This window comes from Homo sapiens, chromosome 17 (assembly GCF_000001405.40).
Source record: "Homo sapiens chromosome 17, GRCh38.p14 Primary Assembly".
Classification (NCBI taxonomy): Eukaryota; Metazoa; Chordata; class Mammalia; order Primates; family Hominidae; genus Homo; species Homo sapiens.
The window spans coordinates 29,057,331-29,084,053 of record NC_000017.11 but is presented as its reverse complement, the minus strand read 5'-3'; the positions used below and the strand labels follow the sequence as shown (position 1 = coordinate 29,084,053).

At 50.8% G+C, this 26,723-nt stretch overlaps 1 protein-coding gene across 6 annotated transcripts in view; it reads left to right on the top strand.

Annotated features, from left to right (window-relative positions):
* The window catches only part of MYO18A (myosin XVIIIA), a 109,277-nt gene extending 96,345 nt beyond the window's left edge, over positions 1 to 12,932 (top strand). For all 6 annotated transcript variants that reach the window (NM_203318.2, NM_078471.4, NM_001346766.2 and 3 more), the window contains 2 exons: positions 1,616 to 1,738; positions 9,140 to 12,932. In NM_203318.2, coding sequence (NP_976063.1) covers positions 1,616 to 1,738; positions 9,140 to 9,284 — 268 coding nt within the window. In that variant the 3' untranslated portion in view covers positions 9,285 to 12,932. The remainder of the gene's footprint in view (positions 1 to 1,615; positions 1,739 to 9,139) is intronic.

Here is a 26,723-nt window from a genome sequence, read left to right as displayed (position 1 = left end):
CAGTAAGGCAGGCAGAGAAATAATGTTTCGATTTACTTAGAGATACAGTTGTTATTGCCATAACCTTAATGAAAGCAGTAAACAGCACGGTATTAAGGGAGATTTATATGGAAACGCTTTTAACATGTAGACATAGATTTTGCGATGCATACAGCACCTCCTTTCTAAAGGCAATCAATATGGTTATGAACGGTGGTGATAAATTACAGGCTCTGAAGCTAGAGAGGGAGGTTTTTTGCACAGGTGTATAAATCAGGTGGTATTGGTGTTCCATGGGGCCCATGCACCACAGTAAATCTGCCAGGCTCGGACGGGCACAGGGCTTGCATTAGCAGTTTCGAGGTTGTCTGCTAAACTCCTGTTTACCCGGGGCATCAGCCAGCCTCGTCTTTGTTATAATTCTGTATTTGATGGAAGCCCATAAAACATGCCTCTTTATTCCCCTCTCTATGAGTTGGGCTCTCGCATGGTCCCCAGAACAATCTGCTGGTTTCGTGTGTGTGTGTGTGTGTGTGTGTGTGCGCGCGCGCGCACACATGCCTGTGTGGCTGTTTATTTAAGAACATAATTCAGGAATGGAGCCATTCCTCTTGACACAGAGGAAAGGAAATTTATATCGAGGAGAAACCCTAGCCTATCCATAGCAGGGCAACTTGGTGAGCAGACATTCTGCAGAATTTTAGAAGCAATCTTACTCAGAAGCTATCTCCAAGCCCAGCTGCTTCATGAGGGGGTGGCCATGACTCCAGCCTCAGAATTGGACTCCTTTGGGCTTTCTTTCAAGTGCTAAGGTCAGCTCTGCCCGATGAAGCACTGTGAGCAAGGGCTGGGGGCTACCTGAGGACGGAAGAGGAGACCTTGAGCGACAGGGCTCTGGTGTGGGACTTTCTGAGCCCAGCTGGGTCTCCAGGGACAATTTAGATACTGAAACTGTTGCTAGTCCCTCTGGAAATGCTGATGCCCCCCGCCCCCCGCCCCTTTTCCTTTCTCTGTTTCTTAAGAGCCAGAGAAGCCACAGGGTGGATCTGGGATGTGGCCTGGGCCTCCTTAACCTAGAGCCCAGGTTGGTGCTGCCATCCACTAAGGAGACCTTCAGGTTCAAGCTAACTCCAAATCCTACGAAGCCCTTCTCTTCTGCTCTGTGGCTGGCAGCCCAGCTCTTGTAACAAAGGCATGGAAATTGACAGCAGCTATAGCCACAATCTGAGGAATGGCAGACAAGAAACAGCAGAGTAGGCCTCAAGGAGTCACTGAAGAACCCAGGGCTCCTCTTTTTAGCTCAGAGCCATTTAGCTGAAATTGATGAGTGGATGGTCTTTAAGTCATTCTCCCTTGATTGGTCAGTGGCCTGTCACAGATAACTGGCTTGGGAGCTGCCTCCATGCTCCTGAGGGTCTTCTTGGTGGTTGTCACACAGTGTGGCTGCTGAGTGGGGACAGGCTCCTTGTGAATGGTGTGCTCTGTCTAACCTCTCTCATTCCCGCCCTCCCGACTCACCGACGTGCATGCTGCCCACATCCCCCCTGCCCAAGACACCCCCTGCACCCCCATCTGCTCCCCTCGTGGGCAGCAGGTGCCTATGCCTTGTCTACCTTTCTGCTCCTCATCCCTACAGTGAGGGAGACTCTGATGTGGACTCGGAGCTGGAGGACCGTGTTGACGGGGTCAAGTCCTGGTTGTCAAAAAACAAGGGACCTTCCAAGGCAGCTTCTGATGATGGCAGCTTAAAGAGTTCCAGGTGAGCATATGGCCTTGAGCTGGGAGGAAAAGCCACCTTGTGCCACAAGGAATGGACAAGTAGCGCCTGGATCCCATGAGGGCAGGCCTGTGTCTCTTGTCTGGCATTTGTGACTGCGGCCCGGGCATGCTTCTGGCATGTGCATGGGCACAGGAAGTTTCTTCTTAGCCAGGGCTGCGTCGCCCTTATTTTTTCCAGGGAATGTTTTCCCATTAGGCTCCAGGCTTTGGTTTGATGTAAGTTAAATGTCACCTCCACTTATTCATTCAACAAATGTTGATCAAGCTTCCTGATAGTTCAGACCCTTGGAATCAAAACTGGGATGGGGCACAGGGGACTCTTAATCCCACAGCCCTGGCCAGCTCTGGATCTCTGACGTCTTACCGTGAATAGCAGCAGAAGAGGCACCAGTTCCACTGATTCTTGACCCAGTTACAGGCACATTTCTGTCTTTTTCTGCCCATTCTCTCCTTCCTCTAATCTCTTCACTGCCCCCACTTCTTTCCTCCTAATACCCATCCACTGGGGGAATGTACTCCCCTGTTTTCTAGCCAGTCATAGTCCTCTGATCATACAGACAGCTACCCCTGGAATCCAGAGCTTCCCCTTGCCCATCTCTTTCCTACTGGCCAGTGTGGCAGCAGGGAGAAAGAAGAGCCCTCGCTCCCCCCTCACCCCCCACAAAGCCATATCCCTGCTGCCCCCACAACATAGAATCCCAACCCCCTGATCAAGCCCATCCTGATCCTCCAGGACACACCCTTCCTCATCCTCTCCCAGAGACAGCAGGTAGACTGGGTAGAAAAAGTAACATCTCTCCCTCCCTTCTCCAGCTCCCCCAAGGCCCCTTCCCCAAGCCTGGCCCCTCACCAGAAGCACCCAGCAGCCCCCTCTAATTGGTTTAATTTATTCGGCCAAACAACATTTTGTTATTGCAGATAATGCCGGCTTCCCCGCCCCACTGCCGTGGTTCACCACGGCATGGCACGAGGCTCCAGGTAGTTGACAATGAAATAAATTGAACTAAACGTTTAGAGGGGGAAAAGTGATGAAATAGAACAATAGTCTAATTTACATGACATTCTCCATGAAGCTATTTTCACTGACGCAAATTATTTTGCTTCATTTCCTCCGATGCTCTCACCACCACTTTGCCAGGGCTGCTGCCGTTTTCTCCTCCTTTCGCCTCCCTCCCCCTGTGTCTTTATTCTCTGAGTTTAATACTTGTTCCTCTCTCTCTCTCAACCTCCCTCTCTCCCTGCTGCCCTCATCCACGTCTGGTTCTCGCATCCTCCCTCGGAACGGCCCTCAACAGCCTCTCTAAGGAGGCCCCGGGGGTGGAGGAGAGGCCGTCCTCGGTGGTGAGCTCCCTGAGCTATCGGAAGCGGCTCACCCTAAAGGACTCCATCGGGGGCACCGGGGACGCGGATTCGCTCTTCACCTCCCTGAGCGAGCGGGCGGCCTCCCCTGAGAGGCCCCCTAGGAAGGCCCATGTGGGCCCCAGGGAGGAGCCATGCCCAGGCAGGAAGTCCGAGGAGCCGGAGGAGTGCGGCTCCGTCCGCTCGGGGACCGGGGGGCGCGCTGGCCGGGGGCCGCAGAAGCGGTGGGGCTCCGACTTCAGCCCGGCCTCCACCGTCTCTGCACCGGTCAGCCGGGCCTCCTCGGCCACGCGGCGGGGCTCTGGCGAAGACAGGGCTGGCTCTTCCCTGAGTTTCTCGCTGTCGGGCTCGCCCGGTTCCCGCCGCAGCACCTCCCGGCTCGACAGCCTCTCCAGGACACTCAGCCCTTCCCTGAGCCGGGCCTCTGGCCTAGGCCGGGAGAGCCCTGATTCTCGCCTGTCCCTGGGCCGGAGCTGCCTAGAGGAGTGGGATGATGGAGCCAGTATGGCCCTGAGCGAGGCCTGCTCGCAGTACAGCCACCCGTCGCTGGCCCGCAGTCTGTCGGTGCCACCCCGGCCACGCAGCTCTGCCTCGGCAGTGGATGAGCCTCCCAGCTCCAGCGTCCGCTCCGTCAGCCGTCACTCCTACCTGGACCCAGACCTGGAGGCTGCCGTCAACGAGGTCTTGAGCTACAAGCCTGTTCCATTCCAGCGGAGCAGCCTGGAGCCCGACTCCGAGGAGGATGACAGGAAGAGCATCCAAAGTGCCCGGAGCGCCCAACTGGACCCCCCGGAGCGAGCTGCCAGCATCCGCCGCTCCGCCTCTGCTGCTGATGTGTCCCGGTCCCGCAGCGGCCGGAAGAGCCGGAGCCGGCGAAGGAGCGGAAGGAGCAGCTCCAGCTCCAGCTCCAGCTCCGGCTCCGAAGCTTCCTCAGAGCACAAGAGGCGGAAGAAGGGGCGCTCTCGGAAGAGCAAGAAGTCCAAGTCGAGAAGAAAGAGAACGGAGACGGAGTCTGAGTCCTCCTCGTCGTCATCCAGCGGCTCGACCGTCTCCAGCCACAGCTGCTCCAGTGTGAAGAAGGGCCCAGCTGCAGAAAGTGAAGAAACTGGGCAGACGCACCGGCCGTCGAGGAAGGAGGAAAAGAAGCGCAAGAAAGAGGTGGACAGCCTGATGATGCGGTACCTGTACCGGCCCGAGAGCGACTAGTGCAGTAGGTGGCACCTGGCCTGGGTTCAGCATGGTGTGTCCCACCCGGTGTGAACTAACGTCCTCCCTGCCCCTCAGGCCGCCACCTTAGGGCCCACCCGCACTCCTCTCGGGCATGCCTGGCCTCGGAGAGCCTCCTGGCTGCCTTGATGAGCAGGGGCCACCCAAGCTGGTCAGTCATCCTGAGCCCTGAGCCCTGTCAGCTGAACTCGCTGGTGATGTCATAGCTCCCACTTACAAGTCCTGACCCTGAACCAGGGACTGTCCTTCATACCTTCCACACTTTAGTCACTTATCCCTCACAGTAACTCCGTAACAAAGTCTGATTAGCTCTGTTTCATAGAAGATGAAGCTGAGGCTTGGAGAGGTTAAGTCACTTGCCATGTGGTCACGCACAGCTGGGAAGGGTTGTTGCCAGGGTCTGAATGGGGTCTGCCCAACTCCAGCACTCTTGCCCTTACCCACTCCTCCAGGCAGCCAGTGCAGAGCACATGGGCAACATGTTTACTGTGTGTGCCCAGCAGCACCCATTCAGGAGCTTTCATTCATGGCCCCAACAGGCTGGGGCCAGGAAAGGTCCCAAGCTATACCCCAGCTGTGGTTGGTGCACATCAGTGGCCCTAAGCTATTATTGGGCCTTTTGCTTAGCTCTCCCTCCCCTACCCTGCCCCCACAAAGCTACCTTCCTCTCTGGCATAGATCTCAAGCCTAGGAGTACAAGGCTCCCAGGGCTACAGCCCACACAGCGCCACACCCTACAGCAGACCCAGGAGATGCCTGACTCCCTCCCCAGCCCTCCCACCAAAGGCCCACACATGGGCGTCACCTTGGTTCTACTCATCTTGTAAAGTTCTAATGAATAGAAATTAGCAACTGCTGAGTGACAGCCTCCCCCTGGCTCTCCTGCCTCCCCCAGCTCTTCTCCCTGTGGGGAGGGAGATCTAGCAGTTAGGCCCTTTATGCCCACACCCCCACCATGGAAGAAGGGCAGAGCCTGACTCATTGGAATCCCATTGTTGCCAGTTTCTCTGGTGCGTGGTGACATTTTAGATCACCCTGCTTATGTGAAGCTGTTTTTGGCATGCTGCCCTCCCAGGGCAAGCTTGCTGCTTCCCAGGAGGTATGTCCCCCGAGTGCAGCCCCTGGGGCACAGACATTTGTCTCCCAGATGCATGAACTAACACACCTGTCGCATGCTTGTGCTGTGGAGCGGCTGGACACCTAGGCTGACTTTGAATGGATTATACCAAACGGACTGATGTAAGACCTTTTAAGGAATGGAGCAAGTGGAATGGCTCAGCCCTGCTCTGTCACTTCCCCCATGCAGCAGATGGTTACTGGGTGCTCTGGGAGGAACAGGAAGCATCTCTGTTGTACCAAGGAACCAGTGTTGGCTCCATAGTAAGACAAGAGTCAGCCGAGCATGGTTATTCACACCTGTAATCCCAGCACTTTGGGAGGCTGAGGCAGACAGATCACCTGAGGTTAGGAGTTGAGACCAGCCTGGCCAAGATGGTGAAACCCCGTCTCTACTAAAAATACAAAAATTAGCTGGGCGTGGTGGCGCATGCCTATAGTCCCAGCTACTTGGGAGGCAGAGGCAGGAGAATCGCTTGAACCCGGGAGGCTCGGAGGTTGCAATGAACCGAGATCGCACCACTGCACTCCAGCCTGGGCTACAGAGCGAGACTCCATCTCAAAAAATATATATATATATGAGTCAATATTTGATCAGGCATCTCAGCCTTCCTCTTAGCAGCCCTGCTAAGTGCCCCACACCCCTAGGGCAGGAAGTCAGCTGATGGACCTGGGAGAGGGGTTTGGAAAGCAAAGAGGGCCAGGCCTTGTTGCACACTGCGCCTCTACCCCCAGATGGACATGGGCCTAAAGCTGGGCCATCCCACACTGACTGGCAACTGGCAGATTTCAGACCCCAATGCCCTCAGCCCACCATCACCCTTGACCCCACAACCAGCAATAACAAAAAGACCAAAAGCCTGTTTCTTCCACCAGCCACCAGCGCAGTTCCTCTTTTCCACCAGGAAAGCTGGAGTAGTCCTGACGCCATATATACCACCCGCTCCAAGGAGGATTGGATTCACTGTTGGTAGAGTGGCCATCAAGCCAGAACCTAGCCAACCAACACGGAGCCAGAGGGAGAAGGCCAGGGGAGGGAGGACCTCAGTGGTGCTCAGCATCAACTGGCTTTGGGGTGGGGGCATGGGATGGAGCAGTCACTTAGCTTCCCATCTGGTGATGAGGACCAGCAAGAATTTGCAACAGGAACGCAGCTTCCATAGCAAAGTCAAGGGGAGGGGAGCTGCCGCCCTGGGCTTGCCTGGCAGGAATTAGCTTATGTACCAAATTGTTTGTGACAGTGCTGAGCAGGAGACGCTGGCTTGTGAGGAGGAAGGCTTTTTTAAACAATTTGGTTAAAATGTTCAAATTGCCAGCTCTGACTCTTGCCCTGGAGAGGAGGGCAGCGGCCTGCTGTTGACTCCCTGATGGCTGGAGCAGTGGAAGCCACTAAGAATGGCTAAAGATCACCCAAGCTACGGGCAAGGGCAATCTCGTGGGTCCGCAGCCCAAGGCAGAGAGAGACATGGAGTTTACCACCTCCCCGGCAGCTCCTGCCACTGCCCAGCGTCTTGATGAAACAGTATGGAAACACGGCTGTCATTTATCCAGGTGTCTGCCTAGCAGGTACAGGAATGTGGGCTTGGGGACTGGAGCCCCCACCTTAAAAAGAGGTGAGGCAATGGAAAGGACCAGAGGGGCCCTGATTCAGCAATTTACAGTGCCTTGGAGCTCGCCAGCAGCACCTCATTTGCATCTGGATTCCAGCCCTGGCATCTGCCTCGCCCCGCTCTGCTCACAAAGTAACCCCACTGTCTTTCCACAAAGCCAGGCACTCCTTAGCCTAACGGCAGATCCTAGCCCTGAGTGCCCAGAAATTCTATGTAAAGAATGAGAACCAAACCAGGCTCCCACTAATTTAGAATTCAAACAACCCCAAAGCTAAAATAACCCCAATTTTTTTCTATATTGCATAGTCATCAGTGAGCTTTATAATTTTGTCCTAGAAACCCCCCCAGAGTCCCTAAGTGCCTTTGGCCTATCAAAGTAAGACTCATTTATGTTCAGTCTAGTTTGTGTTAAATGTGTTTTGTGCTATCCTGATTCCTTTAAAAATGGTAATTCATTCATGAGAAATACGATAACTATTAACCAGACTGCCCCATTCCTGAACCATTTTGCATAATTGAACATGTATTCTATCAGCCTCTTCCTTTCCCCCAGGGATAGAGACCGACCTTTCTTTACATAACCCCTGGGCACTTGCCCAAGCCAGCAGGAGAATTCAGGTTTGGTCCTTTTTTTTTTTTTTTTTTTTTAATCTCAGGTCAACCAATCGAGTGGCGGGGTGAAGTCGTCCAAAGTCTTTGAGGTCTAAGAGTCCCAGATTCAAGTTTACATACTGGCTGTGTGGCCTTGGGGAAGATCCTTTCATCTCTTTGGACTGGCTTCCTCGTAATATTTCATAGGGTTATTGTGAAGAGTAAGATAGCCTATCTCACATGCCTAGGCCGTGTCTTACACATAGGAGTACTCAGTGACCAAATCTTGCCCTCTGCATCTCTCACTGCCACCTTGGGAAAAGCTAAGAAGGTGGTTCTTGCCGCAGAACGCTGACTCCTCCTATTTTGGTTTGGGGATAGAACTTTAAAAGGGCTAGTAAACAAAGGTCCCTTTTCAGCTTAAGTCAGAATTATAGGCAGCAGGGAACATGGAACTCCTGCTTGCCCAAGTTGGAACTCTAGGATCTGGAGGCAGGGCTGCAGCTCCAGGGACCACGCCGAGTGTGGGGCATCAGTAGGAGAGGAGCCACACTGGGCTGTGTTTTCTCCAATGGTGTTGAAACGAGAGTGCACTTGAACTGACGGAGGCAGTGGAGGCAGGAGGAGTACGGGAAAGGTGGCCCCAAGGCTTTGGGAGAAAGAAAAGAGAAGGTGAATGGAGCTGTGAGATGAGGTCCCCTCTTCCCTGTTCAGTGCTGTGATCCTGCTCCATCAGGGGGAAGAGGCCTCTTCACATCTGGGATAGCTGGAGGCCTCCAGAGCCAGAGGCCTGATGAAGACTCTGAGTTATGTTATTGTACCAAGAAAGGGGCTTTTCCCCTTGGGCCATCCTAAAACAGGTCTTCCCAGCCTCTCCTTCCTGAGCCTCCATTTCTTGTTAGTAGATGATGGCATGGTCAAAGCTGAAAATTCTCACAGGCCTCAGGGAGCCATCATTAGGGGAAAGGGTTCAGATCTGGGAGTATTTGACAGGGAAAGCGCCTCCTCCTCAGAAGGAATCTTTTTAGGAATCACTCGCCTAAGAGAGCCCCTACCCTAGACAAGTTGTACTCACCAGACCTCCAGTCTCCAAGCCAATGTGGTTCACGGACTGCCTGCTTCAGAGCCTTCTGGGGAAGGACTGAAAATGCAGAATTACTGGGTTGTACCCAAAAGCCAGCGATTCAAGGTTTCTAAGAGGAAGGGCCCAGGAACCTGCATCAGATTCTTATGCACGCTTGAGTCCGAGACTCACTGCTCTCAGCATCCCTTTCCTCGGAGCTTTAAAAGCTTCCAGAGTCTCCTTCCTCTTAGCATTTTGAGTATCTTCTAAGTAAGCCAAGGAAGGTTTTTACTTAACAATGTTTGGCTTTTGGGGAGTGCTCTGACGCAGCTTTGTGGGCCTCCAGAACCAAAGGCGTGCGTGCTTAATGGTAGGAGTGTCATTTGTCCCTAACCTTATTCCTCGGTCCCTGCAGCCCCACCAGCTACTGGAAGTCCCTTGCCCCTGATCGGTCAGATGATGAGCACGACCCTCTCGACAACACCTCCAGACCGCGATACTCCCACAGTTATCTGAGTGACAGCGACACAGAGGCCAAGCTGACGGAGACTAACGCATAGCCCAGGGGAGTGGTTGGCAGCCCTCTCACCCCAGGGCCTGTGGCTGCCTGGGCACCTCTCCCAGGAAGTGGTGGGGCACCGGTCTCCCCCACCCGACTGCTGATCTGCATGGGAAACACCCTGACCTTCTTCTGTCAGGGGCACTTTCCAGGCTATGGGTGTCTGATGTCTCCACGTGGAAGAGGTGGGGGAAAGAGGAGTTTCTGAAGAGAACTTTTTGCTCCTCTGTCTCAAAATGCCAGACTCTTGGCTTCTACCCTGTGTCACCGTGGGCAGTGGCAGGTGGCCTGGCACTGCATGGAGCCAGCACGTTGACCTCCCTCTCAGCTCCCTGCTCAGGGACGGTGGACAGGTTGCCTACTGGGACACTCTAGGTTGCTGGGTCCATGGGGAGGATTGGGGGAGGAGAAGCAGTGCCTTCCCTCTCGTGTGGGGTGGGGGCTCTCTCTTCTTGGTGCCTGCTGTCTTTCTACTTTTTAATTTAAATACCCAACCTCTCCATCACAGCTGCATCCCTGAGAGTGGGAGGGGGCTGTAGTGGTAGCTGGGGCTCCCAAGAACGACTCGGGAATGTCATCTCCATCTTCACCCTTCAGAGAGCAGTCCTTTCTCTGTGCAGCTGGAGACGCTGGTGAGGAGAGCCGGGTCCAGGTTCTTAAGAATGAGGTGCGGAGGGGCTCTCCGGTGCTGCTGGGCTGGGTTGAGCAAGCCTACGCAGACAAGTGTGTGTGTGGACCATCCGCACCTCCAGCCCCCACCCCACCCTCTTTGTCTCAGCGTGTTATGTGCAATGACCTATTTAAGGTAAACCCATTCCAACTACAGCAGTTCAGGGCTGATCCAAGCACTGCCTCCCTCCTGCTCTGTCCAGGTGGTCTGGACCATAAACTCAACTTGAGAGGGAAGGCTTGGGGTTGAGGACTTGTGATCAGAAAAACTGAAGATGGAAGTTTTGGCCGGTGCTCATTAGACATGAGTCCTCACTCTGTGTCCTGAGCCCGTGTCATTCTTCCAACCTCCCTGCCCCCACACACTTATCCCAGACACAACACCATGTGGTCTGGAGGTCCCAGCCCCCACCCTAAAAAGGTTATCCCTGAGAACTCCACCAGACTTGGGAGCCCAAGTGCAGTGCCTGGTGCTGCTCCCATCTGCCGCCCCCCTTCTCTCCTGCAATTGGTTTGTACTCACTGGGCTGTGCTCTCCCCTGTTTACCCGATGTATGGAAATAAAGGCCCTTTTCCTCCTGGCTGCGCCAGTTTTCCTGCCTGTTCCTTCAGGCTCAGGCAAAGTCTGGATTGGTCCTGGGGGTGGTGGGCAGAGGCAGGATTCTGATGGGGACCGTGAGGGCATCACCCTGGTCTCTGGCCTGCTCCCCAAAGTGTCAGACCAGTGCCACTTAAAGAGCCTAGGCAGCTCATTTTGGGGCAGGCAGAGGTAGTGGAATGAGGGGATTGGCCAAGGAAGACACAAGCCCCACCTTTTATGTGAAGAGCCTAGGGACTGTGATTCAGGTTAGCAAGGGTGGCAGAGACTCCAAGCCTCATCCTCCCTAGCCTCCACAAGGGAATGTTGAGGTCCCTCTGATTGTTAAATCTCACCAATTACAGAGATTCTCTTCTCTTCTCTTCTCTTCCTCCTTCCGTCCCTCCCTCTCTCCCTCTCTCTCTCTCTTTCTTTCTTTCATTCTCTTTCTTTTTGGATTCAAGCCCTTCTCATTAGAACATTTTTTAAAAGCTTAATTTTAGCCATTTCAAAGGTGACTTTTTGATCAAAACTTGGCAGAACTAGCTCGGGCCCACAGGGCAATGTGAATAGGTTGGGAGTGCTGTCTCTGCCCTGCTCGGTCCCTGTCTTCATGCCCTACTCCATGCTTTGTTCCTTCATTGACAGCTAAGAGGCAGCTCATGCAGAAAGGCAAGAAACAAATGACACCCCTCCTCCTCTTCTACCTTCTACCTTCTCATTCTGTAGTGTGGCCAGTTATAATCCCTGAATGAATAAAGTAGTTTGGACAGATGGGTGGGAAAAAATAGCAAACAGCCCAAGTGCCGAGGCTCTGATAATGTCAGCCATCCAGAAAGAGTCCAAAAGGGAAGAAGGGAGAAAAGTCTCCCCCAAAATGAATGGGACAGAGTGTGAAGTGGATCTGTCTCGAACAGAGACTGCCCCCTCCATTGCCCCACGATAGAACAGAGAAGAGGATAGAAACAATAGTAAAAGGGAAGTTACTTGTCTTTTGGAGACAGAGTCTTGCTATGTCGCCCAAGCTGGAATGCAGTGGCATGATCTCAACTCACTGCAACCTCTACCTCCCGAGGTTCAAGCGATTCTCCTGCCTAAACCCTCCGAGTAGCTGGGACTTAACAGACGTGTACCACCACGCCTGGCTAATTTTTGTATTTTTAATAGAGACGGGGTTTCGCCATGTTGAGCAGGCTGGTCTCGAACTTCTGACCTCAAGTGATCTGCCTGCCTCGCCTCCCAAAGTGCTAGGATTATAGGCATGAGCCACTGTGCCTGGCCTAAGTTACTTTTTTTTACAAAAAAAAAAAAAAAAAAAAAAAGGCTGCTAGCTTATGTTCAGTTCTGTCACTCTCATCTTTTATTCCTGTTTTCACATAGCGTGGTACATTTTCTGTTTCTACTAGGGACTAGTGTGACAAACTCCCTGCCACCTTTAGATGAATTCCCAAATCTGTTCACTCATACTGAGTCAAGCCTCTGGTTAACTGGAAACTCCAACATCAACCTCCAATAACCCGGCCTGGGGTAAAAAGCTTTGTTCAAGTCAGAAAACATATTCATTTGCTTAACAGTTGAGAAATATTTCATGACTGCCTGCTGTGCCTAGGCCCCATTCTGGGTGCTGGTGATGGATAAGGTCCCTTCCTTCATAAAGTGGAGGAAGGTAGACACAAAATACATGCTGCACCTGCTAGTATGCATAAGCTTAGAGTGGGTAGAGAGGAACACATCATAGTATCCATCCTCCAGGGTTTTGCGGACGAGGGCTGGAGCAGACCCATGTGGAAATAATTACATAAGACCTAACAAGGATGAAGAGGTTGCTTTGGACATACTATGGAGGGAGATGCTCTCTTTGGCGGGGAGGATTGGGAAAGCCTCTAAAAGGAGCTGCTATTTTGACCAGGGCTTGAAAATAGCACTTCCACAGGTACAGTTGCTGGGAAAGGCATATTGAGAAGAAGAAGAGTTTAAGTAAAGGTCCTGGGGCAGGGAAAGAGAGGTGCTGGTAGAACATGCCACAGGCTGGCTGTGCATTGTCACATGACCAGTGCTTCTCCAAGTTTCAGTTGAGAAGGAGACAATTCCCTTGGCCCCAGAGGAGTCCAGGAGCCTTTAGGGCCACCAAAGCCCATCTTTATTTTGGGTGTACCTTGAAGGCTCTGCTGTTGACCTTACCTGTACACTCATGGTACCTCTGGTCCCTAAGATGTTGCAGAAGGCAAATCTGGCCCTTTGCCAGGCTCAAAGCCAGCCTGCTAGATCCTCCTCTATAACTGCAGATCCCCGGGATTGCTCTGACTCCTGAATAAGCATGGGCGGGAACCAGTGCCCCTGTGGGACTCCCCATGGTGCCCAGTCTGTGCCCAGAAAATAAAGTGGCAGGCAGTGACCCCTAAATGGTCTTCTTTTGTCTTTGTGTCTCCTTGGCAGATTATCCCAGTTGTCCTTGCCCCATCCTCCACCCACTTGCCTGGTGGCAAAGACACTTAGCGATTTGCTCCTTAATTGTCCCCCAGCTAGGCTGCGCAGATGCCGCTCTTTAATCTCTCCTGATAAATGAATCGCGCCGCTCCTTTAATCATATGTTCATATCCAAGCCAATTTGAATCAATTTGGCAGGGAGCGTGTTGCAAGAGATGCCATGACTGCTGTTTCTTCCCCAGGGCCCTGGAGCCAGAGCGGCTGCTGTCCTTACCCTCAGCAAAGAGCCCAGGAGGCCCATCCAGGGAAAGGATCGCCTACCTGAATAGTGGGGACTTTTCAAAGTCTTCTAATTCATTCCTGACCTCCAAGCTGGCCGTGTGGGACTGGAGGGAAATGGATTCCCAAAGGCCTCGGAAGTGGGAGGGGGATGAGTCCCTAGCCTGCCTTGGTCACTGAATGAAGGGCCCCATTATCATCCCTGGGAGAAAGTACTGCCTTAAATCTAACCCTAATCCCTTCTGTTCCCCGTTCATTTCCACTGCACCGGTTCTCTGGGAAGCTGGAACACTTCGTCACCTTTTATATAGCAACACATTCCAGACAAGTCTATGATAATTTGTCCTTGCCTGCTTCTACTGGCGGCCACCCTGACTCCTTCCATCTTCTCCTAGGACATATTTTCTAAAACCTCCAGCCTGGTGGGCAGTCCGACACGTTCGGTAATGTACCAAGCTCTGCCGCCTTTCAGGCTGCTGCCTTTTCACCTCCAGAGTGGTGCCCCCGTGCAGTAATGAAAACAAAGCAAAAATAGACAAAACCTGCCAAACTGAGTTCTTCTGCGTCTAGCACTGCGACCTTGGAGAAGGGGCTTAACCTGTCAGGCCTCAGTTTCCCCATCTGTGAAACAAGGTAGTATTGCTGGCAAGAACCTTCTGGCTTCTAAATTCAGAGCTCCTTACCACAGCCAAAAGAATCTCCCACGCCCTCCCCCTTCATCCCCCCTAGTGAGGGACTGACAGTTGATGCCCAGTGGGGCTTCGAGATCCGGGTGCTGTGGAAGAAACGTTGTGCATGGTCTGTCGGGAGTTAGTTTCCATTCAGACACTCGGTTGAACCTCGAGGTCCTCTCATTTCCTCTTCTTCCCTAGCCCGCTCTGCCAGTCCAGGCTTGTGCCCTACCATTCACTGGGAAACCGAGAGCTCGTTAGCATATTCATATATATATTTGCATATCCACTTTTCATTGGCGCACGTGGCCCTCTGGTCCCGCCCCTGCCTGGAGGTTCTTTACGCACTTCCCAGAAGCCACTCCCCTTAAAAGAAATGGGTTTTCAAGCCGCCGATGGGCAGCCCATCTGTGTTGCCCTTTTAATGATTACAGCGGCATTAGGACAGGTCTACTCTCCGAGCAACCCGGAAATAATGTTTCCCGCCCTTTTAAGGGCCCTTGGAACTCTGGCCTGAGCTGAGGCCCAGAGTCAGTGACTGGGACTGACAGGCCCCTTCCTACCCTGTCAGTAGTGAGAGGAGGGTAATAAGAGCAATAATTGGCCGGGTGCGGTGGCTTACGCCTGTAATCCCAGTACTTTTGGGAGGCCGAGGAGGGTGGATCACCTGAGGTCAGGAGTTCAAGACCAGCCTGGCCAACATGGTGAAACCCCATCTCAACTAAAAACAATACAAAAATTAGCCGTGCGTGGTGGCAGGCACCTGTAATCCCAGCTACTTGGGGGGCTGAGGCAGGAGAATCGCTTGAACCCGGGAGGCAGAGGTTGCAGTGAGCCAAGATCGTGTCATTGCACTCTGGCCTAGGGGACAAGAGAGAGACTTCATCTCAAAAAAAAAAAAAAAGGACCAACAACAGTTCCCATTTGTTGAGCACTTACTATGATGACCCCAGCGCTTAAGCACTTTGCCCTACAAAATCTCATTTCACCTCCATCACAACTCTGTGAAGACGTCATCCTGGAAAGAAAACTGAGGCTGAGGGGTGATGTCATCTTTCTAAGCAGAGTCCTCAACTTGCTTCCAGCAGCTGGCCAGGCGTCTCCTAACTATTCTGGCCTTGGCAGAGGATGCAGTGAGAGGCAAGAAAGCAAAGAATCACTACCATGGTCCTCATCTCAAATCGCGTGTGCCTGGCATTCGCCAAGTCCTGGCCTCAGAAAGGAAACGCTTCTTGGCAATTTGGGGGGAAAATATCTACTTCACATTTGCGTCGCGCTTCACAATTTTCAGAGCATCCCCCATATATTATCACATTTTCACTTCACTCCCACTGTGCCAGCAATATGAATAACAGTTCCACATCGCTCAGAATGCATATTTTAAGCTATATTCACTTCAGTCTAATTTCATTACAGTACAACAACAATCCAGACCATTCCCTGCTATTTGATCTGGGAGGAAAGATTTCCAGAGCAGTAGCCATTTTGGAGTTAACAAGGATACTGGATGTGTTTAGAAGGAATTGTACAGAGAAATTGAGTCTTCTGTAGCGTGAGCCCCAGAGATGGGTCATAAACATAAGGGAGATTCCAAAAAGAGTGTGTGCTTTGCGACTGAAGTCAGTCACATAAATCCCCCAGTGGAATACTTATATGTGCAGATAGAATTTGCTGTAGATATCAAAAGTCAGCTATGACAGTTTTAGAAGAAAAGAAAATTCAAAAAGGATATTACGTTTTGACACTATCCAGCCAAATTATATTTGAAGTGGCTTAAGAGTCAAAGAGTTTCCACATTTTAAGAAATTTTTATATGTTTTGTGCCACATCTATGATCTGACTAGATTAGGAAAAGCAGCAAATGGATTTGGGAAAGAGAGGACACTAGGGAATTTGAAAATGGAAATTTAAAAAAAAAAGGAGTTAAGGCTGAGGTGGGTGGATCACCTGGAGTCAGGAGTTCGAGACCAGCCTGGCCAAGATGGTGAAACCCCCTCTCTACTAAAAATACAAAAATTAGGCCGGGCACGGTGGCTCACGCCTGTAATCCCAGCACTTTGGGAGGCTGAGGCGGGTGGATCACGAGGTCAGGAGATCAAGACCATCCTGGCTAACACGATGAAACCCCATCTCTACTAAAAAAATACAAAAAATTAGCCGGGCATGGTGGCGGGTGCCTGTAGTCCCAGCTACTCGGGAGGCTGAGGCAGGAGAATGGCATGAACCCAGGAGGCGGAGCTTGCAGTGAGCAGAGATCCGAGCCACTGCACTCCAGCCTGGGCGACAGAGCAAGACTCCGTCTCAAAAAAAAAAAAAAAAATTAGCTGGGCGTGTTGGCGGGAACATGTAATCCCAGCTACTCGGGAGGCTGAGGCAGGAGAATCCCTTGAAGGTGGAGTTTGCAGTGAGACGAGATCATGCCATTGCACTCCAGCCTGGGCGACGGGTGAGACTCTGTCTCAAAAAGAAAAAAAGGAGTTTAAAAAAATCTCTGCATGGGGAAGATATAGCCAATAGCTTCGGAAACATTAGCACTTTGAAAGACCGGTGAGTGACAGGCAGCCAGGCAAATATAAAATTGTATGTGATGAAAGAGGTCTCATGGCTCATCTTAACCCTGGGGCCTGGCATCAACTGCAGGTTGGCACCCTTGCTTGAGGACTGCTGGGGGACTACTGTCCAAGGAAGAGTGACCCTAGTGAGTGCACTCCCTGGAAGGTTCTGCCCTGGAAGCACAGGTCTCATGGCCTGCCTTTGTGGGTTCCGGAGAACATCTGTGGGAGCTACTGTTTCTGGTGGAAACATACTCAGCCACTGGGCAGGTTTTAATAGTAGAAAGGAGCTTCTGCTCCCAGGAACCGACAAAATAAGCCTAGAGAACCAACTAGAAAGTGAGGCAGTCTTACAGCTCTGTTAATGGGTTCCTAAGGTTACATATAGACATGACAAAAGTAGAAGGGAAAACACAGATCAATAAATAAATATTAGAAGGGACCTCTGAAAACTATAAGTAGTTTTACCTGGGGATGTGGGGTTATAGATGAAGTGGCTGTGCTTTCAATACCAAGTTTTCATACAATTTTTAAAAGTCAGTACAGATGTGTGTAGCAACACCAAAGAAGGCCCCAAATTGTCATATTAGCATGATTATAAGAATCACTTCTTTCCCAACATTTCATATACAGAAATCATAGCAGGCGGGTGGGCGGGAGGGGGTAAACCGTGTGGCAAAGCTGCTTAGAAACTGCTTAGATCCCTTGCTCAGGGAAAGCCATTCTTAAAGCAGCAGGCTTCTCTCGGCATGGCTGAGAGGGAAGCTGGAAGAGGAACAGATTGGAGGGTGGAACATGAACAGGGTATTTAGGGGAGGCGAGCAGCGCAGATGAGACAAGAGCATCTAGATCAAGCCCTCCCATGCAGCTGAGAGCCCTGCAGGTGATCGGTTTAGGTGAGGCTGTTTTTGTTAAAGGGACTGGCAGTGGGGTTGGGATGAGGAGGAGCCAAGAGTTGAGAAGGTCATTTAGGACATTTGTGTCATAGTGATATACTTTTTTTTTTTTTTTTTTTTTAAGATCTGCAAGGTGGGGACATGGCTCAGTGGCCAGACTTTGTGCCTGGCTGGTAGATTTGTGCTTCTAATACATGGTTCCATCTAAGAAGGTGTAGCCCCTTAGGGAAGTATTGTTGCTGACTTGAGTGACCAGTGAGTTTCTCTGAGAAATTGGAAAATGTGGGATCCCTAGTAAAAGGGAAGCCCAGGGGTTGAGGCATCCTGGCAGGTCTGGGAGGAGCAAGTCCCCTGGGGTGTGGGTGTGATCTCCCTCTCCCTCCCCACCCCTACTCCTTGCTCCCCAGCAGAAATCAGCTACAAATCTCAGCTTGTTGGGAACAGATGGCCTTGGCTGACGAATAAACCACCGCAGGCTGCTCCACCTGTTCTCGGGCTGGAATAATCAGCTCGAGACAAACATCAGCGCTGAAATAACTCATGGCAGCGGGTGATGCGCAGGCACTGATTCCAAAAATCTCTTAAGCAGCCCCCCTCCAACTCTCCCCTCCCCAGCCCCTAGAGGCCATGGGGGAAGGTAATGGAGCACAGAAGACAGATAGAGCCCCAAACTGAGCAGGAGGCCGGAGCTAGTAGTGCCACCAGCGGAAATGGGTGGAGGACAGGGCTGAGATGTGCGGCAGGGTGGGGGCATCCACTTCAGTGGTGCAGGAAATTATTTCTCAGGAGCACGTGGAGAACATGGGCATTCCTGTGTTGGTCCATGGGCCAAGGCTGAGGAGACTCAACTAGTCCAGGATGGTAGATACCTGAGCATTTAGGATTCATTTGATTTGTTCATTGAAGGAGTGATGTGCAAGTAGGGTCAATCTACCGGGGAATCTCTCAGCAGCTCACACAGTTCTGGCAGCAACCACTGGGGTCTTCTCCTGCTCCCTCTGTCGATGGGTGTCTGGGTGCCCACAGTTGTACAGATTTGCGTTCAGCCTTCCCCGATCCCCGAAGAAGTCAGCTGGGCTAACGTTCCCTGGCACTAGCAGATGAGCCCATGGGAGGAGTGACAGTGCAGGGAAGCAGTGGTGATGGGCAGTGGGGGATGCCAACTGAGATGGGGGTCTGAATCCCTGTGAAGCTGGTCAGGAGAGGGCAGGGAGACAGAGAAGAAGCTGATTGTTTGCATTGGTTGCCTCAGTCAGCCGGCACCCTCAGTCTGGCCTCCAGGCCTAGTACATGAAACATGGGGACTCCAGAGGCTGTGTGGGCTTACAGTGAAGCAGCTTGCAGAGCCTTCCAAACCCCAAGTTGCGTCTCTAAGTGCCAGTTATTCTTTCCCCAAGTGGCTCTGTGCTGCCCAGGGCCCAGGACATTGGAGACTGAGCCCTCCCCTCTTATTTAGGGTCCTGCAAACCTGTTCTCCTCCAAGCTGGTTCTGCCCGCAGAGTTGCCGAGGTGGCACTTGTCCTTCTAAGTGGCTGGCTCTGAGGTTCTCACCCCTGGCTGTTTTGGTTTATATACAAAAAGTTTTAAAATAATAGTATAATGAATGAACCTGTTGATATGGTTTGGCTGTGTCCCCACCCAAATCTCATCTTGAATTGTAGTTCCCATAATCCCCTTGTGTTGTGGGAGGGACCTGGTGGGAGGTAATTGAATCATGGGTGCAGTTACCCCCATGCTGTTCTTGTGATAGTGAGTGAGTTCTCAAGAGATCTGATGGTTTTGTAAGGGGCTTTTCCACTCTTCACTCTGCACTCATTCGCTCTCCTGCAGCCCTGTGAAGAGATGCCTTCCATCATGATCGTAAGTTTCCTGAGGCCTTACCCAGTCATGCAGAACTGAGTCAATTAAACCTTTCTTTATAAATTACCCAGTCTCGGATATTTCTTCATAGCAGTGTGAGACTGGACTAATACACCTGTTTACCCATCAAGCAGCTTCAACAGTTATCACACCTCAGGATGCTGAGATGGGAGGATTCCTTGAGCCCAGGAGCTCAAATTCAGCCTGGGAAACATAGTGAAACTCCTGTATCTTAAAAAATATATATAATTTAAATTTTTTTTTTTGAGACGGAGTCTCATTCTGTTGCCCAGGCTGGAGCACAGTGGCACAATCTCAGCTCTCTGCAGCCTCCGCCTCCCAGGTTCAAGTGATTCTCCTGCCTCAGCCTCCTGAGTAGCTGGGATTACAAGCACACGCCACCACGCCCAGCTAATTTTTGTATTTTTTTTAGTTGAGACGGGGTTTCACCATGTTGGCCAGGCTGGTCTCGAACTCCTGACTGCAGGCGATCCACCCGCCTCGGCCTCCCGAAGTGCTGGGGTTACAGGCTTGAGCCCACCGCACCTGGCCTTAATTTAATTTAAAATAAGAATAATTAAAACAGTTATCAACAGGGAATCTTGCTTTGTTGGCAACCCTGCCCACTTCCCCATTCTCTTCACTGTATTATTTTGAAGCTGACAGACATGATGTCATTTCACCAGGAAATAGTTTAGTATTCCTCAAAGAAAAGAAAATGAGGCCAGGCACGGTGACTTACATCTATAATCCCAACAGTTTGGAAGACCAAGGCAAGCAGATCACTTGAGCCCAGGAGTTTGAGACCAGCCTGGGCAACATAGGGAGACCCCATCTCTACAAAAAATAAAAATAATTAGCTAGGTTGAGGTAGAAGGATCACTTGAGCCTGGGAGGTCAAGGCTGCAGTGACCTGTGATAGCACCATTGCACTTCAGCACTTCAGCCTGGGCAACAGAGTGAGAGGATGTCTCGAAAAGAAAAAAGAAAAGAAAAGAAGAAAAGAAAAGGAAAGGAAAGGAAAGGAAAATGACTTTTTTTTTTTAGATGGAGTCTCGCTCTGTCGCCAGGCTGGAGTGCAGTGGCATGATCTCAGCTCACTGCAACCTCTGCCTCCCGGGTTCAAGTGAGCCTCCTGCCTCAGCCTCCTAAGTATCTGGGACTATAGGCGTGTGCCACCATGCCCAGCTAATTCTTTGTATTTTTTAATAGTGACGGGGTCTCACCATGTTGGCCATGATAGTCTCCATCTCTTGACCTCGTGATCTGCTCCCCTCAGCCTCCCAAAGTGCTGGGATTACAGGCATGAGCCACTGCACCTAGCCAACTTTTTTCTTTTTTTTAAATAGAGACAAGATCTTGCTCTTTTGTCCTGGCTGGAGGGCAATGGCATGATCATAGCTCACTGCAGCCTCAAACGCCTGGCCTCAAGTGATCCTCCCACCTTGGCCACACAAAGCACTGGGATTACAGATATGCGACATCACACCCAGCCAGAAAATGACTCTTTAAAAAATATAATCACAATACTCTTATCACACCTAAAAAATGATCAATAATTCCTTAACACAAAACATCCAGTCAATGTTTAAACTTCCCTGATTTTATTATATAGTTTTGTTATGTATTTTATAATATATATTTTAAAATTGGTCTGTTTAAACTAGGATCCAAATAAAATTGAAGAGCTTTTTAAAAAATATGGTGCCTAGGGCCTTCTCCCTTGGCGATTCTAATTTAAATGGTCTTAGGTGGGTCCCAAGCATCATCTTTTTTAAAGCTCCCCAGGTGGTTATAATGTGCAGCCAGGGTTGAGAAATGCTCTGCCTTTCCCCCTACCAGCTTCCGGCCAACTCTTCCGTGTTCATGCCATTAAATACTTCTCCCCGTTTCTGACCAGCTGATCAGGCAGCTCCCAGAGCCGCTCCGATCAGGTGAGGGCTGCCCATCTTCTCCAGGTTCCTCTTTCAAGGTGGGTGCTAACTCCCTGTGGATACAGCATTCCCTTTCCCTACAGATTCTCATACCATGTACATCTGTTCCTATTTCTTTCTCCCCTAATATACCTGGTGCGTGTTCCTGCCTTACAAGCGTAGCAGATTTTTTTTTTTTTGCGTGAAAATAGCAAAATTCCTGCCTCAGGAAAAAGTGAGAACTTCCCTGGGGGCTGTACTCACTTGACTGCTCCAACGCCTCAGTGCTGTGCTGGAGCTGAGCACGGGGCCTGCTGGGGGCCTTGGCAGCAGTTGTAAGGGAGCCCGGGGATTCGAGTGGGACTTGAACCCGGCACATGTCGGGGAATCTAAGAAACTTTTCTCTCCTGAAGATGCTGGCCCCAGGAGCATTTTGGAGAGTGATGCCCACGTCCTTAGCTCTGTGCCTCTGCTCGCAGCTGTGAGCCTCCCTTCCCACGGCTGCTGTTTCCATTCTCCAGCCCCCGACCCCTTCACTCCACTTGCCTTTTGGACTTGTTCCTCTCTCCCATGCCACCCCCATTCCATGTCTCACTGAATGTTGGTGAAACAAATCTAGTCTAAAATAATGAGCAATCAACTACCCCGATGCTTGGGGGCAGGCTGGGCAGGGGCTGGGGGAAGGGGTAGGAGCTGAATCATTTATAAAGCTGAATAAAGATGCAGATGAGCAGTGCTAACTAGGAACCCCAGAGCTGGGCTTATTCATTATTCAAAGTTATGTAAATGTCATAGGTCCTGCCTGTTAGAATCCCACCCCTTGTCTCTGTGGCTCCTTCAGGGCTGACGGATCCAGCCCACCTTGGGCCTCCCCCATTCTCCCTAACCCAGGTGCCTGCATTAGCCCTGCCTTAGGCCCAGATATTTATTTCAGACCCTACCCCCAGGGTAATAAAAATCTTAGACCCCCCTTTCTAGCCAGCAGTCGTCCAGAAGTTTTGAGGGGAGGCCCTGGCCTTCAGACGAGCCTCTACAGGCCCAAATAGCAGAGCTTCTAATTTTTTAAGATTTCCAAGGAAAGAATATAAGTATGCTCATCTACATGTTTTAGTATCTCATGAATCTACCTAATGGGATGGATTTCCTGAAGTCTAACTTTAATCCCTCTTGCTGCTCTAACAGCCCACCACTTAAAAAACCAAATTCTCTTTCATCACTCTTCTGAGAAGAAAATGCAGGCTTGGAGTTACTTTGTAGCCGACTGTCTCCAGACCGACTCGGCCATGTTTTCTCCTTTGACCTTTCTAGATAGTTGACCCTCCTTCCTGGGTACACTCACATTCCTTAAGCTGTTAAACCCATTCTGGGATGCCAAACTCTGCTGGGGTCCAAACTGGTACTGAGGATAGTATACACCTCCTCCTCTCCCCACCACGATCCCTGACTGGTACCCCACGATCGCCTGGGTCTTAGAACTCAAATTACTTTGCCCTGACTCTCCTCCCTCTTTGCCAGTCTTTCCCGATTTCCCCACCATCTCCTCATCTTTTGGTGAGGCTGAAATGAAAAATTGGGTCAGAGTCACGAAGGCATCGATTGCCTCTGCTCTCCCTTCTTTCCTGGCCTGGCTTTCTTTCCTCCCGCCCCCAATCTATTTTCAGCCTGCCTCTGCTTTCCTCAGTCTGCTTGCCAACCAGGCCAGCCTCTTTCTCTTCGTTGCCCTTATCTCTCCCCTGCAGCCTGTGCAGACCCCAGCTGCCCTTCCAGAGGTCTCTTCTTGCCTGCCCGATTGATTTTGATTTTCTTCCATCCTGAAGATATGTACGGCCTGCCTGAAAGGGGATGCCTGGCCACGCTCAGGCAGAAGGGAAGCAGAGAGAGAATACTGGTTGATCTGCTTTGGAAAATCCTTCGATATAACTGAAACCCTCAAGTTATCCTAGGACCCCTTCTACAATGACTTTTGCTTTCCTCTAGGCCCAGAGACTATTCCCAACATCTCCTCTACTATCCCACCCCATCCCACCTAAGAATGGCTGGTTTCCTCCCACTTGGGCACTCTGGGCCCATTTCTTTTGGCTTTAGGGGTGCGTGGCATCCCTGGAGGTCCTGACCTGCCTTCGTGGTCTGCACATTGCCAGTCTCTTCTTTCCTGCTTCTTGTCTGTCTCCTTTCTTCGCTGGCCCGATCCATCCCCCCACACCCATCCTCCCTCACTCACCCCCCTGCCTCCTCCCACTCTTTCCTGTGCTCATCTAGAGAGGCCTCCGCCAGCTGAGGCAGGGCTTGGGAGCAGCCCCCACTCGTCCTTTCTCAGCCCCTGGGAGACACTGGTCCATCCTTTAGCTGTCACCAACAAGCTGAATAAGGCTGGATATTTTGGAAGGGGAGCTGCAGCTGGCTGGGGGAAGGGGTGGCACTGAGAGAAGCCAGAGGGAACTGCAGGCAGCTGTGGGGTGAGAGGGGGCATTCTGAGCATCTTAGCTTCCCAACTTTCTCGGCTTGGGAGCTGGTGGGATCTTATTCTGGCCCTTCTCTGTGTCTCATTTGTCTGTCCCCACCAGTGATAACACAATACCTTGCTTTACAACTCATCACATTCTTTCACCTGCATCCGAAGGCCTGCATGGCTCACTCCTTCTCCTTCAAGTCTGCTCAAAGGCCCTCCTCTGTGAGTCCTCCTCTGACCACCCACCTGAAAGGTCAGACCCTCCCCCAGCACTCCCTGTCACCTCCTCATCACCTGCCTCTGTTTTGTCCCCAAAGCACTTATCACCTTCTAATTTATAATTACTTACGTGAATTGCCTATGTGTCTCCTTCTCACTGGACTGTAAGCTTTGTAAGAATGAGATTTTTTTTTAGGCCAGGCGCGGTGGCTCACGCCTATAATCCCAGCACTTTGGGAGGCCAAGGCAGGTGGATCACTTGAGGCCAGGAGTTCAAGACCAGCCTGGCCAACATAGGGAAACCCCGTCTCTACTAAAAAAAAAAAAAAAAAAAAAAAAAATTAGCCAGGCGTGGTGGCACATGCCTGTAATCCCAGCTACTCAGGAGGCTGAGACAGGAGAATCACTTGAATCCAGGAGGTGGAGGTTGCAGCGAGCTGAGATCGCACCACTGCACTCCAGCCTGGGCAACAGAGTGAGACTGTGTCTCAAAAAAAAAAGAATGAGATTTTTTTAAAAATTGTCGTCAAAAACACGTAACGAAATTGACTATCTTAACCACTTGTAAGTCTACAGCTAAGTGGCATTAAGTACATTCGCACTGTTGTGCAGCCAATCTACAGAACTCCTTTCATCCTGCAGAACTGAAAACCTGTACCCATTAAACAAATCCCCATTTCTTCCTCCTCCCAGATCCTGGCAACCACTATTTACTTTCTGTCTCTATGACTCAGACTACCCTAGATACCTCATATGTATGAAGTGAAATAATACCACTTGTGTTTTTGTGACTGGCTTATTTCACTTAGCATAATGTCCTCAAGTTTCATCCATGTGGTGGCATGTATCAGAATTCCCTTTATTTATTTATTTATTTATTTATTTTTATTTATTTATTTTAGACAGGGTCGTGCTCTGCTGCTCAGCTCACTGCAACCTCCACCTCCCAGGTTCAATTGATTCTTATGCCTCAGTCTCCCGAGTAGCTGGAATTACAGGCTTGTGCCACCACACCTGGCTAATTTTTTTTTTTTTTTTTTTTGAGATAGGATCTCGCTCTGTTGCCAGGCTGGAGTGCAGTGGCATGATCTTGGCTCACTGCAACCTCTGCCTCCTGGGTTCAAGAATTCTCCTGCCTCAGCCTCCCGAGTAGCTGGGACCACAGGCACACACCACCACACCTGGCTAATTTTTGTACTTTTAGTAGAGACAGGGTTTCACCATGTTGGCTAGGATGGTCTCGATCTCTTGACCTCCTGATCCACCTGCCTCGGCCTCCCAAAGTGCTGGGATTACAGGCGTGAGCCACTGCACCCTGCCTAATTTTTGTATTTTTAGTAGAGACAGGGTTTTGCCATGATGGCCAAGCTGGTCTCCAACTCCTGGACTCAAGTGACCCACCTGCCCTCGGCCTCCCAAAGTGCTGGGACTACAGGTGTGAGCCACCATGCCCAGCCAGAATTCCGTTTATTTCTAAGGCTGAATAACATTACATTGTATGTACATACCACATATTGTTTATCCATTCATCCATCCATGGATGCCTCGGTTGTTTCTACCTCTTGGCCATCGTGAATAATGCTGCTCTAAACAGGGGTGTATAAATAACTCTTTGAGATCCTGTTTTCAGTTCTTTTGGGCATATACCAGAAGTGTAACTGCTGGATCATATGGTAATTCTATTTTTAATTTTTTGAGGAACAACCATGCTGTTTTAGAACAGGGATTTTTATCTGTTTTGTTCACTGATGTATCTACGGTGCCTCACATAGTGCCTGACACATAATAGAGGCTCACTCAGTATTTGTGTTTTGAACAAATGCATGAATGAATGATCTTATTTGATCCTCAGACACCCCTGTGGAGCTGGTTGGCATTATTATTCCCATTTACAGATATAATACTCCCATTTTACAGAGGCTGAGGTTCAGGGAACCATCTGAGATCACACAAAAAGCAGACTTGGCATGGGGTTGACAGGCTTGGCTGGCTTTTTTTTTTTTTTTTTGAGACTGAATCTTGCTCTGTCACCTAGGCTGGAGTACAGTGGTGCAATCTCGGCTCACTGCAACCTCTGCCTCCCAGGTTCAAGTAATTCTCCTGCCTCAGCCTCCTGAGTAGCTGGGACTACAGGTTCCCGCCACCACGCCCGACTAATTTTTGTATTTTTAGTAGAGATGGGGTTTCGCCACATTGGCCAGGCTGGTCTCGACCTGCTGACCTCAGGTGATCTGCCCCGCTCAGCCTCCCAAAGTGTTGGGATGACAGGCATGAGCCATGGCGCCCGGCCTTGGCTGGCTTTTATAACTCACTGGAGAATCAGTGCTAATACATGTGCCTAGGACCTTAAGGACTCAGGCAGTTGAAGAGCCATTTCCTCTGTGTTGTATTTCCTTTGGGGATATTTGTACTGTCATTCTCACTGCCTGCTCCTCCCCACTCTGTGACTCCCCCTAACACATCTGCCACTCCCAGTCCCAGTTTTTCTCTCTAGAGCATTTTAGCTCCTGTTCTGGGGTTGAACTGGCCCGATGTGGAGATCCTCCAGGTGGGTTTCATCTGAGTGCATCCAGACTTGCTCGAGTCCCTGTTACCACCCCTCACCCCTCCACCCACCCTGGGGTGGTTATAAGCCTGTTCCCTTCCAAAGCAATTAGTGCAAGGAGGCCAGCCAACTCGGTGCTAATGCTGTTTCATTAAGTGGGAGCAATCCTAATGATAATAAAATGGCACATTTAACATTCAAACATTGAACAGGGTTTCTAAGCGAGTGTGTCTCTCTCTTTCTTTCTGGTATAACAGCTCCATCTTCATAAGGACCTGACAATACACCTTAATGAGAGACTGGGGAGCTGAGCATCTTCACACAACCAGAGAGGGGGTGAGGAGGAGACAAAGAATCCAGAGAAAGGGGGTGCAGCGCATTGA